Below are 13,021 nucleotides of genomic sequence, written 5' to 3'. Positions count from 1 at the left end.
TAGTCATGCATCTTGGATAAGTCACATATATTTCCTGAGCCTCTATATTCTCATCTGTATAATGAAAATAATAAAAGTATGTCCCTCATGGGGATTGCTACGAGGTTAAATGAAATGAAAAGGGTAAAGCTCTTGGCACAGGGCTTAGCACATAAAGGCTTCTAACAAATAATAGCAGTCCTATTGTTGAGCTGATGATGGTCATTTCAATTAGGTATAAACGTTTCTTACATACCTATCTAGATTACTCTAAAATTTCCAAAACACTGCCACAACTAAGATCATTGCAACCTCCTAACAGCTCTTTGAGGTAGATAAGACTCATATTTTTATTTTATTTTCACAGAGGAGGAAAGTAGAGCTCACCAAGGGGAAGGGATTTGCTAGGGCTTGGCTAGTCGGCAACATCCAGTCTAGAAAGCATCTATGTCTCCTGACCCCAGCCTGGGCCCGTGAGAGGGATGGGAGCAGGTCCTGGGAACTTCAGACTGTAGGAGACTGAATTTGGGCGGACTCTGGTGTGAGGGCCCACCTCCAAGTTCAAGACTGCAGTGCCTCCCTGGGGTCCTCCTTCTTCCTGCCCTAGAGGGATTAAAGGTCCTTTCTTGCTCCTGCCCAGCCCCCTGTGTGACCCCAGCCTGGTAGACAATGGTGGCCATGGGGGGTGATCAGAGCCTGGAGAGAATTATTTCAGAGAGAAGAGTGGGCGGGAAGGCTGGTGAGATGCCAGCCGGGCGTCAACGACGCCTGCAGAGAAATGAAGTGTTCCTTCAGTTTCCTGACGCACAAGCCCTCCCGGGACTGTGTCCCCCGCATGCCCTGCACCCCCGGGATCTACTGGCTGCGGCTCCTGCTTGAGCTGAGCATGGCCCTGCTCACGTCCTCCCCATCTGGACCCACTTCAGCGTTTCCATGGGCTGGCTGTGGAGGTGATTCAGCGTGGGCTTCCCTGTCCCGCCCTGCTCTGCAGACAGCAGCCGCTGCAGGAAAATTATCATCATTCCTGCCCTTCCTTCCTTCCGTGCCGCGCACACTGTGCTCTCCCCACACGCTGTCATGGGATCTCACTGCAGCCTAGGTGGTGTTCTATCTGCCCTTGTCACCTCTAACAAATGAAAAACCAAGGCCTAGGCGAGGAACGTGGGCCTAGCTCAGCCACTACTAACACGCTGAGTGACCTCTAGCTGTCTTTTTCCTCACTCTGAGTCTCAGTTTCCCCACCTGTAAAATTGGGGGGTCAAATTCTATCAAAGGCTTCAGTCTCTACCTCCCAAGCTCCATGAGGTCAGCAACCACATCCGTTTGGTCCAGTGCCGCGTCCCCAGCACCCCCACGTAGCCAGCACTCAATCCATTTAATGAGAGGGTTCTGCCCCATCGGTTGCTTGGGACACCGCAGTGATTTGTTGCCGCTAATGATTAAAAGGCAGACGAGAGTGGGAAATGGGCATTTTTTTTTTTTTTAGCCAAGCAAGATAATGTGGCTTTCTCTCACTGCCTTCTCACGTGCCCTCTTTGGCAGAGAAAGGAGTGGGGTTAGATGTGGTGCAGCTGGAACTGCACGTAGCTCGCTGTCGCTCCTATCTCTCCACAGCTGTTAATCTGGGCATGCCCATGGGACTGTGATGAATTACTGTGGATCATGGAAAAATATGGTCAGGAGCCCTTGTACTAAGGACCTGGGGGGTCTCCAGTGACTCTGGTAGTCCAAGGGAAAAGGAACACAAGCTTACCTGGTTTCTGGGCCACTCTGGGCCCAGGGCCAGGGCTGGGGCTGGCTGTCATCATCTGCCCGGCCTTCACTACATCCCAGTCCTGGCTGGCCCTGTCGTCGTGCTGGGACGCCCCTTGTTCCTCTCTGGAGCAGCTGGGTGGTTGGATGCCCAGGGCTTTGGGCAGCTGCGGTGTCCCCTGGGTGACTCTGCAGGCAGAGTCGTCCCCACTCCTGCTGACCCCCTCATCCTCTTCCAGGTCGGTAGGCCCCACCTCTCCCTGCAGGCCCTCCTCACCGCTGCTCTCCTCGGCTTCCAGAGCCAGACACCTGTAGCTTCCATCAGGGATCTGGAAGGCGCAGGGGGTAGGCCTCCCTTCGCTGGGTGCAAGGGGCGGAGGTGGGAGGTGAGGACCCAGCATGGTGCTGTTCTTCCTCAGCGATGCAGGGAAGCAGGCTCCTGGGCCTGGGCCAGGGCCTGGGCTGGGGCCAGCTGTGTGAGCCCTGGTCTCTGCTCCTTACACAGCCTCCTCTGACTCTCTGCACTTTTGCCTTCCTCCGCTGATTCACAGAATTGGGGTGAGGTCTGGCTGAGACGAAAGATAAGTCCTTCCTGGGCTAGTGGAGTGGTGGACCTCCAATCCCTCTTCTTAACCCGTCTCTGGTGTGAGGCCGCTTTGGGGCAATCTATCGGCATAGGGAAGAAAGAAACAGCACATGAGAAAGCTCGCTTGGGGTTCCAGGCTGAATTTCTGAAGCCTGTTCCTCTTCAGGTGACCCTGAGAACTGGTCGGCATTTGGGGTGCAGGTTCCACACTTCCATAGGGAAGTGTTTCGAAAGCTCCAGTCATTTAACATCCTGGATTTTCACCACATCCTCATGCTACCTGAAACTTTATCTAATATTTTTCCATTAATCAACTTGAAATCACTTACTTCTATTACTTTAGAATTATCTTAAGCAATATTTGCAGAGAAACCACAAGTATATTGTGCTCAGTCCTTTTCCCCCAATGCACATTAAATAAATATCTAGTTATTTAACAACACGTATCTAGACACCACCTAGAAAGAATTCACTCATATCCCAGCAAAGGTACCTACACCACAGGAATCACAGGAGTGGTGTGACCTAAGATGCAAACTGGGGATAGGAGCCCTTGGAGGAGATTGTGCAACAAGAAACACTGTGCAGTCCGGGGGTGGTGGCTCATGCCTGTAATCCTAGCACTTTGGCAGGCCGAGGCGGGTGGATCACCTGAGGTCAAGAGTTCAAGACCAGCCTGGCCAACATGGTGAAACGCTGTCTCTACTAAAAATACAAAAATTAGCTGGGCGTAGTGGTAGGCACCTGTAATCCCAGCTACTTGGGAGGCTGAGGCAGGAGAATCGCTTGAATCCAGGAGGTGGAGGTTGCAGTGAACCGAGATCGCCCCATTGCACTCCAGCCTGGGCAACAGAGCAGAAACTCAGCCAAAAAAAACAAAAGAAGATGGTGCAGTGGTGTGCTTTCAGTTTCTGTGCCCAGGCTTGCAGTTAGAATCCTAGCTCTGCCATTTGTGTGACGATCAACAAGCCAGCCACAGGACCTCTCTAAACCTCCACTTCCCCGTCTGTAAAATGGGTATTGTAATATTTCTAACTTCGCATTGCATTGAGGATTACATGAAAAAATGCACGCAGAGGACTCAGCACAGTTTCTAAGCCATACCTTAATACATGTTGGCTGTTCTTTCATTCCACAAAAATTTCTTAGGATCCTATTATTTTTCAGACATCATAAAAAGTACTGGGGATATAGCAGAGGGATAAAGAAGCCTTAAAATGTGGTGAGGAGAGCTGTGAATGATAGCAGGAACAACAATAATCATTGTATGATTATTTATATAAATGTTAAGAATGATGATAATCCAAGCAAGAGGGAATGGAGGCTTTCTGTAAGGGGTGGTGAGGAGGGGGTAGATGGGAGAGATACTTGGGTGGAAGAACTGGCTGGGCTTGGAGGCAGATGGAGAGTGGGTGTGGAGAAGAGGGAGGAGCCTAGGATGCAGCCCAGGTTCCTAGCTCTGGTGACAGAGATTTTGTTAATAGAGATCAGGAATAAATGAGAAGGAGCAGCTGTTTAGTGGAGCAGGGAGATGAGTTAGGTTTTGGATTTCCAGGGGAGATGAGCAGTGGGCGGTTCCACATAGGGGTCTAGAGAACAGGGGAGAATTCCAGGCTGGGGACAAATATCTAGAAATCATTTGTGGAGGCAAAGGGTGGAGATGGGTGAGATGCCCAGGATGGGCAGGTAGTGCGTAAGACAGAGCAGATGGCCAATTACACTTGGGAGGAAACCCTAGAATCAAGGGATCTTGCTTAAAGACTGGATTCCGCTGCTACTTAGCTGTGTGAACTCAGGCAAGTGTGAACTCTCTTACTCTCACTTATCCTACTGCAAAATGGGGAGCAGTGAGAATCCTGAAAATTGTGAGAGTCTGTGGACATGAGTGACCTGAGGACCTGGACTGACCTCAGCTGCTGTGGTCACGCCTCCGCCCCCAAGCAGGGGTCAGGCACCTCCCACTGCAGCAGGCTGGGTCAAGGTCTTGGTTTCTGGCTGGGACTGTGCCAGGAGAGTCTGGCAGGCAGGCAGAGAGATAAGCGCATTACCAAGCCCCAGGGAAAATCAGAGCCAACCAGGGGAAAGGCAAACAACCATCCGGATCAGAAAGATAACCAGGCACCTGTTATAGCAGCCTCAGTGGCAGGGAAATCAGGAGAAAGAAGCCCACCTTCTGCCCCCCGGGGAAGAACAGAAGCACCTCTTCTATCTTGGGTCATTCACTTAGGTTATTGCCGTAATTTCTCACATCAACCCTATGAGAGAATTACCTTATTATTATCCCATTTCAGAGGTGAGGAAATTGAGGCTCAGATAGGTGAAGTGACTTCTTGCCTAAGGCACACAGCTAATAAGTGGCCAGGCTGGGATTCCAACCTAGCTCTGACACCTTGACCATGATGGTGGATTCAGAGACATGGAGGAGAGGCTCCAGGCCCTCATTCATCTCCAGGTGCTTTCTCACTCACCAGCTGCTGCCAGATTTCTGCCATTTGAGTTTCAAAGAATCTTAGAATCTCACAAAGGCCAGCAGCACTCAGAAGAGACAGGACTGTGAACTGGGGCAGGTGCTTTTCGCACTCTGTAGTCAGATTCCCGGAGGACACCATGGTGAGACTGAGCCAGATGATGCTGGAGGATCCGTCCAACTGTGGCATTGCAGGATCCCCTGATTCTAAGCACTTGGATACCCACCTCCGTCATCCCCCCACCGTAGAGCCAGATGGCCGGAGGCAGAAGGAGTGGGCGTGGGGAGGGGGCAGGGCTCCTCTGACTCCCCGCAGGGGCCTCGCCTCACTCTATCCCTGCTTCTGTTTTGATGTATTTGACGGTGGCCACGGTTTCCAGGAAAGAAGAGAGAGGCGGAAAAGTTAACTTTCCGCCACCCACACAAATATTTTTGGCCGGCGTTGTCTTCACGCTGCCAAGCCAGGAGGGAGGAGTTGGCAGGAGCACTCCAATTCAAGGTTCCCTCCCAAGGAGGAAGGAGGACTCCCAACCCAGTCGGGGAGCTTGGGCAGGCCCTATGCAAGCCTGAGCCCCACAGCACCCACCTCTGTGCAGGAGCTGTGGGGGTCGGGACCCGAAACAATAATAGCAGCTGCCACTAACTGAGCACCTGCTAGGTGCTGAACCCAGCCCTTTACCTGACACTCCTGCTGTGTCAGTGCAGTCTATACAGGAGGAAACTGAGGCACGGAGAGGTAAGTACTGTGTTCAGAGTCACACGGGTGGGAAATGGCAAAGCAGGATGTGAATGGAGGCAGCCAAGGTCTGTGCTTGTACTCACTGCTCTCAGCAGCTGCAGACTCCAGGGACCCCCACAGCTCCTGGGGTTGCTGGACTCAGCCATCGCTCAGATGGCCAACCCATCCATGAGGGCGGATCTCCTCTGTGGGTAGGAGAGCACCTGCTGCAGACTCCACAGACATGGGAGGGAGTCCTACCAACTTCTAATTCCATTTCCCCCAGATTCATGACCCTCATCTGGACACAAGCTCTAAAATACTTGAGCCTTGGCAGAAATGGCTGATAGAGTCCACAGAACACGCTGTCCTCATCTCAGAGAGGAGAACTCTGAACCCAGAGGGGAAGGATTTACCTGCAGTTGTATGGCAAGCCAGAGGTAGGCGCTGCACTGGAACGCAGGTACCCAGACCCTTAGACTCTAGCTCCTCACATAAGCCCTGCTCCCTCTGAGGGGTCAGCCTCCCCTTCTCCCTCCCCTTCACCTCTGCATGAGTCCAAGCAGGGGCCCCCAGGACCAGAGGACCGGCTGAGCGTCAGGTGCTCCACAGTCTGAGGGCCGGCCAAGACACCCCAGGGCTCCAACTGTTGGCTTCTGCAATGGCCTTGGGGCCCTGGCATCCCTTCTGCTGCTGTGTGTGTGGTGGGGGAAGGGCACTGGCTTTGGCATCAGGTCTGGGTTGGAATTCTCACCCAGTGGCTGCCTGACCCTGGACATGTCTCTTATCTTTCTGAGCTTCACTTTTACTGCCTGCAAAACAAGGCTTAAAACACGATCCACTTCCCAGGGTGTTTGTAGGGATTAATAGAGAAAATATAGGCTTATTCCTTCACCCAGTGGGGAATGAGGAAGCATTGCTGTGTGCTGCTCACCTGCTGGGCTCTACAGACGCTTGGTGAGCCTGGCATTCGGGGCCCCAAGTGCTTGGTGTGCACAGACTGCAATGATTATAAGGCACAGTCCAGCCTCCTTCTGATTCCCCATCATCTGCAGGGTCCCCATGGGTCAAAAGAGCCTCCCTTGTAAGCTGTAGAAGAAGGGAAAGGGAGTGAGGGGTGCTGAGCATTAGGGCTTAAGTAGGTGCATTGCAGAAGTCAGGGCATGGGGTCCTTGTTTCGACTCTTCCATTGCCTCACTGAGTCAGGCTGGGGAAATCACAAGATCTAATTTTATAGGTGGAAGGCTATAGGGCGGAGAAGGGAGAAGCAGCCCAGGAAGACTAGACCCTCATTCCTCCAAAGGCCCCACTGCCCATGGCTCTCTACCTGACCTCCCCACCTGCTGTCTCTTCCTGTTTCCATCCTATAGAAAGTCTGATCCATTGTCCTAGAGTGTGGCTCTGACTGTGTTGCTCACCTGCTCAAGAGCATTCCATGGCTCCTCATTGCTCACAGATAAAGCAACACTGCAAATGCAGGCTCAAAGCCAAATCTTATGATTCTTGGCTGAGGGGAGTGAGGAAAGGTTTCCTGGGGTAAAGATCATCCATCAAGGCCCAGTGAAGGCAAGAAGGCAGGACCACTGGGGATGACTCTGAAGAACGAGGCGGGCTTGGATAGGCTGAGGTTAGGGCATGTATGGAAGGGCTGAGAAGATGGCCAGTTTGTGACAGCCTTTGGTTGCCTAGGCTCTCTCCTGCTGGCTGGAGAGACAAAGTAGGGGGGTGGGCAGCCCTACACGGTTGGGGGAAATGACTGCAAGGCCCAGCTCTGTAGGTTTGGGTTGGAGGCAACATGGCCAGACCAGCAGGCATGGGACTGAAAAAAGGGCTGGCTGGCAGGCAGAGGTCCCAGCAAGAGGAGAATTTTGGAGCAATTTCTTCAGCAGCTGGCACAGGTCCAGGCACATAAAGCAACAGGCCAGGACCAGTGGCTCATGCCTGTAATCTCAGCACTTTGGGAGGCAAAGGTGAGATGATCACCTGAGCCCAGGAGTTTGAGACCAGCCTGAGCAACATAGTGAGACCCCCGTCTCTACAAAACATTAAATATTAGCCAGGCATTGTGGCACACACCTGTACTCCCAGCTACTTGAAAGGCTGAGCTGGAGGAGTGCTTGAGCCCAGGAGGTCAAGGCTGCAGTGAGCCATGATTGTGCCACTGCACTCCAGCCTGGGTGACAGAGTGAGACCCTGTCTCAGAAAAAAGAAAAAAGAAAAGAAGAACAAAACACAAAACCAGTAACAATGATAATAGCTGATGTATATGGAGTGTTTACTCTGTCAGGTGCTATTCAGACACTTCATTTGCAGCAGCTCATTTGATCCTCATCACACCCTATAAGGAAGGTGCTATTATTATCCCCATTGTGCAGATAAGGAAATGGAGCTGCGATGACTTGCCAAGCTCACACAGCTAGTGAGCGATTGAGTCAAGGTTCACATCCTGATGGTCTAGCTCCAAATGTCACTCTTATCCATAAGGCTGTACTTTCTCAATGGTATAAGTAGTTGCTGAGCGAAAGAATGAAAAGATGAACGAATGAAAGAGAGGAATGGGAAATGGAAGGATGGGAGGGAGGAAGGAGCTTCTCTCTGATGTCTGGTACATTGCCTGGCATATTGTAGATGCGTAATATATATCAAATGAAACAATACATGTGGGGTGGCCAGGAGATTGACTGTAGGTGTAACCTAGGAGCAAAACGGAGGCATCCTGAGGAAAAGGTGACTCTGAACGGGTTCAGATGGCTCAGGTGCACCTGCCCACCAGATTCCTGTCTGGAAGCACCCTCAGCACCAGTCTAGGGTAGGGGAACTGTCTGGTCTATCCAGAGCTAAGTTCTCCCTGACAACAGGAAGAAAGCTTTTGTTGTCCTTGCGAACCTGACCTATGTTCCTGCCTTAGTGTTTCTCTCCCAAAGAGGGGATGAGATCCAAGGTTGGGGGTTTCTTCCTCATGGCTCCAAAGGCGGGGAATTCCAAGCCCTTCCAACCTCCAGAGCTAGTAAGCATGAGAAACCCCAGCATTTTCCATTACCTTGCTCTGCATTCTTGGAAGAATCACTTTCTTTTACCAGGCCTCAGTTTCTCCAGCTGAGAAAGGCCTTGAGCAAAGTGGTTAGTGGGAGCGGTAGCAGCAAGGTTGCTGCTACACCTGAATTCTCCTTGGCCTTGCCCATTTCCAGTGTTTTCCAGTTGGGGTAGTCAGTCCCAGAGGGATGTCCACCATGATCCCACGGTCCCGATCCCTTCTTCTAGTCCTTCAGGACAGACTGACCAATCTTGGCATCCTTCCTCCCTTCCTCAGCGGCCATCAGTATCAACCATCCCAACCGCCCAGCCTACTCTGACCCCTTCTCCTTCCTCCCTAGTCCTCCCTCCATTTCTGCCCACCTCCTGGGGCAGAAGGGACCAGTGTTGGATGGGCATGAGGTGGAGCTGGGGGGAGCCCCAGGAGCCATAGGAAACCAGCCCTTGGCACGAGGTAGTGGTGAGAGGTTGGGAAGAACTTCCAGCTGGGCACACTGGGTGGTCTCAGGAGAGATAAGGCTTCAGTTCAGCCTCAGAATAGTGGGTAACTTCAGATGAGTCCCTGCATCTTACTGAATTTCAGGTGCCCTCCTGGTAGAATGGAGACTCAGTCATTCATTTACTCATTTGTTCACTCAATGCATATTCACAGAACGCCTGCTAAGTGCCATCACTATTTTAAGTGCTGGCAGTACACAGTGAACAAAAGAGAAAGAAACTCTGCCCACGTGAAGCTCACATGTTAGCTGGGGTGGACAGATAAATAAATAAGAAAGTATGTCAGATGGTGTTAAATACGATGGAAAAATAAGCCAGAAAGGCGGCCTGGGAGTGCTACGTGTCATTAAGATAAAGAAACTGCTATGAACATAACAAATCTTAACAGATGCCATTCCGTGTTTTGTATAGCATATGCATTTCAAGTTCACTATTATGTTAAATCCTCATATGCAATTATAAAAAAAACACAAACCAACATTAGGTGACAAACTTAGAAACATAAGCCCTACAAACCCTTGGGAGACATATTTCTTAGGCTAATATTCTGATTATTCAATTGTTCACCATTTTAGAACCTTCCTATTCCATTCTGAATATGTCTACTATTTAGAAATGAGTATTTTTTGTAATCTTGTATATAAAAAATAAGATTTCATATGTTAGCATTCTTTTTTTGGAACATTCTTTTCCAAGTTCGTTATTGGTAGAGCATCTCCTCACTGTAAAACACATGATATGCAATGAGTTTGAGGACAATAATAATGATATCATATTGCTGTGAGGATTAAATAAGGTAACCTGTGTACATGCTCAATAGAAACAGCTGTTGTTATTATAATTATTGTTTTTGTGAAGTGGTGACTGAGGGCATTACAAGAGCTACCACGTATTGAATATTGAGCATGTGCTGGGCACTGTATCAATCTTGTTTCTTGTTTCTTCCTCACAATAACATTATGAGGCAGGCACCTACTGTTATCCCTCAGTTAACAGATTGAGGAAGCAGAGGCTCACAGAGGGTGAGTCTGTGCCCATGATCCCAGAGCAGGAAAATGACCAAGCTGGAACCTGACCGGTGTCTGTGGCCTGGCGTGGTCACTGGAGGTTTTCTGAGGGTCTGGGGAGAGGCCATTTCACACAGCACAGAGTCCTTTGTTCTGGCTCTGGCTCTGCCGTGCCTGTGACTGTGGCCACATGCCTCCACTCTTGGGCTTTGGTGACCTCCCTGCACAATGACAAGCCTGGGCCTGGGGTCTCAAAATGCTCTTCCAGCTTTAGACTGCCTGTGGAACTCAGCACCCAGGATGCTGGGGCACTCAAGCCTGTTCCAAGTGGACTCACTGAAGCCAGCCTGCTCACAGAACCAGCCAAGTCCCCAGTACGTCACATCTATTTCTGCCCTGCTGGGTTTATAAATACATGGGCCAGGGAACCAGCTTCAGAGGAACTGGGGAGACTGAAGTCATGGCTATAAATACGGGGCTGAGACTGGCTGAGGTCAGGCAGGGGTGTGGCAGGGCAGAGGCCACTCTGCACAAAGTCCAGTCTCCCTTGGCCACACCAGAAAATGGGGGCTCAGATGGGGAGGGACTTGCCCAAGGCTACGCAGTCAGCAGATGGGGAGAGGGCTGGCACACAGGGCCCTGGCTCTGAGACTGCTCCACACTGCCCCCCCCCGCCACATTCACAGTGCCCCCTCACCCTGTCCCCCAGTTTAAACAAGAGACTGAGACGGATACTATGATTTCGGTTTCTATAGTAAACTTATGCTGATAACATACTGCTTTTTATCTGTTGCATACATTGGGGCTCCCAAATATTGCATTGCAGAAAGGGTTCAAGGACTAAAAATTCAGAAAATGCCTAACCAGCCAGGCATGATGGCTCACGCCGATAATCCCAGCATTTTGGGAGGGCGAGGTGGGCAGATCACCTGAGGTCAGGAGTTCGAGACCAGCCTGGCCAACATGGTGAAACCCCATTTCTACTAAAAATACAAAAATTAGCTGGGCGTGGTGGTGCATGCCTGTAATCCCAGCTACTCGGGAGGCTGAGGCAGGAGAATTGCTTGAACCCGGCAGGTGGAGGTTGCAGTGAGCCGAGATAGAGCCATTGCACTCCAGCCTGGGCGACAAGAGTGAAACTCCATCTCAAAAAATTAAAAAAATTAAAAATAAAAATAGAAAATGCTTAACCATGCCTACCAAATGGGATCCCTTCTTCTCCATGCCAAGTGGCCCAGCTGTGTGCTGAAGCCAGCCACACTGTCTCAACAGCCAATGCACCCTTTCCCAGCTCTGCATTCAGGGACATTGTCAATGGCTTAAAATGGGCCACGGTGGGAGTAGTTACACCACAGAAACTGGCAGGTGCTACAAATCAAAGCTTTTTTTTCTCCAGAGAGCAAGTTGTTAGACATTTATCCACACACCGCTGGTTAAAACCATGACTAGTGAATCCCTATCATACCCATTTCCTGACTGTCTGAACTTGCCCCGGTTACTTTACTTCTGTGAGCCTCCAATCTTTCATCTGTGGAGTGGGAACCCTAACCACGCCTGCATCATAGCAACTGTGAGGGCTACCGGAGCTGGTGCCCCTAAGGGTTAGCATGGCAATTCCCAAACTTGTCCACCTCATCAGAATCACCTGAGGATCTTTTATACATTCCAAAGCTCTGGCCACACCCCAGACAAATTAAATCACAGCTTCTGGGGGTAGGACCTGGGATCAGCGTATTTTGAAGCTTCGCAGGTTGTTCCTATGCGCAGGTAGGTTTGGGAACCCTCACTCTTTGCAAGCACTATGTAGATGCCCAGAGATCATACAGGGATGGGGAAAGTGCAGACCCCACATCACTGCTCCATTGTTTAACTCCTGGGGTTTCAGGAAAAAAAAAATGTATTAAAAATAGTGGGTTTTATTCATTTGTTTTTTCTGTTTAAAAGCCTAACCAGCCTAAAGAAACCATGGGAGGAGAGGCTCTTACCCTCTCCTTTGCAGATGTGGGCCCGGCTGCCTCACACTCCAGAGCAGATGGGCCACAGGCTTATAGGTCCCAAGGAAGCTTCACTTCATGTGGTACCCAGCTGGCCAGCCAGGAAGATGGAGGGGCTTCTGGCTGGCCTCTCTTCCTCTCCTAGAAAGTCATGCTGGCCCTTTTGGGTCCATGGGCCAAAGGTTCATGAAGGTGGCTCTGCCTGTGAGACATCAAGCTCCTGGGTTGAAGGACTTGGATTAAGAAGAGTGACATCAGTGCACAGTTTATGCCAAGGGCTTGGGGCCTCAGTCCAGCTTCTTCCTGGACCACCACCAACAACAACCAGTGATAAAAATAATTATACTAGTGGCTGACATTTATGGATTCTTCCTACACACTAGGCTATACCACAGCGAGTGCCTCGAAAGGAAATATAGTATAGCACTGTGCCGTCCAACATGGCGGCCACTAGCCACATGCACTACTGAGCACTTGAAATGTGGCTAGCCCACATTGAGATGTGCTGTAAATAAAGAATAGACACCAGATTTCCAAGACTTAGTACCAAAAAAAGAATGTAAAATTTCTCATTAACAAGTTTTTTTCTTACATTTATTACATGTTAACATGACGCTATTTGGAGTTTAAATAAATGCATTATTAAAATTGATTTCATGGGCTTCTTTTTTCCACCTTTTTTTTTTTAACTTTTTAGTGTACCTGCTAGATAATGTAATATTACATCTGTGCTCGCATTACGTTTCAGGGGACAGTGCTGGCATTGCAGTCAGGAGGGCTGGTCTCCACTGCCATACTCCAGCACTGCATTCTGCCACGTACCAGCTGTGAGACCTGGGTCAAGTTATATCACCCTCTGTTCCTCAGTTTCTTCATCTGTAAAACTAGAATAATAATAGTACCTACCTCTCATTTAAATGTGCTTGGCAAAGAAAGTCTTCAATAAAGATCAGCTATCCTGGCACCCCTTGGCATTGGGCTAAGTGA

At 50.1% G+C, this 13,021-nt stretch overlaps 1 protein-coding gene and 1 long non-coding RNA gene across 11 annotated transcripts in view, besides 1 other annotated feature; one reads left to right on the top strand and one right to left on the bottom strand.

The window, feature by feature from the left end:
* SYNPO (synaptopodin) overlaps positions 1–13,021 on the bottom strand; it is a 73,198-nt gene that overhangs the window by 38,708 nt on the left and 21,469 nt on the right. For 5 of the 10 annotated variants that reach the window (XM_047416689.1, XM_006714755.4, XM_047416684.1 and 2 more), the window contains one exon: positions 1,733–2,397. In XM_047416689.1, coding sequence (XP_047272645.1) covers positions 1,733–2,132 — 400 coding nt within the window. In that variant the 5' untranslated portion in view covers positions 2,133–2,397. Of the gene's footprint in view, positions 1–1,732; positions 2,398–2,814; positions 2,857–5,606; positions 5,709–6,436; positions 6,592–13,021 lie in introns of those variants that run through there. The other 5 variants (XM_047416687.1, XM_047416685.1, XM_047416688.1 and 2 more) reach the window with 3 other exon arrangements.
* Positions 3,668–12,686, top strand: LOC124901108 (uncharacterized). Its single transcript, XR_007058996.1, has 3 exons — positions 3,668–5,520; positions 5,789–5,942; positions 11,985–12,686. It is a non-coding gene; the product is annotated as an uncharacterized LOC124901108 (long non-coding RNA).
* Positions 4,184–4,371: a silencer, noted in NCBI's record as "fragment chr5:149995691-149995878 (GRCh37/hg19 assembly coordinates)". NCBI's record gives its function as "represses an EF-1alpha promoter that drives an FKBP-Casp9 reporter gene in an ReSE screen in HepG2 liver carcinoma cells {active_cell/tissue: HepG2}" and the evidence as "EXISTENCE:reporter gene assay evidence [ECO:0000049][PMID:32094911]".

Source organism: Homo sapiens, chromosome 5, assembly GCF_000001405.40.
Source record: "Homo sapiens chromosome 5, GRCh38.p14 Primary Assembly".
NCBI classification, from domain to species: domain Eukaryota; kingdom Metazoa; phylum Chordata; class Mammalia; order Primates; family Hominidae; genus Homo; species Homo sapiens.
This window is presented reverse-complemented; position numbering and strand designations above follow the sequence as displayed.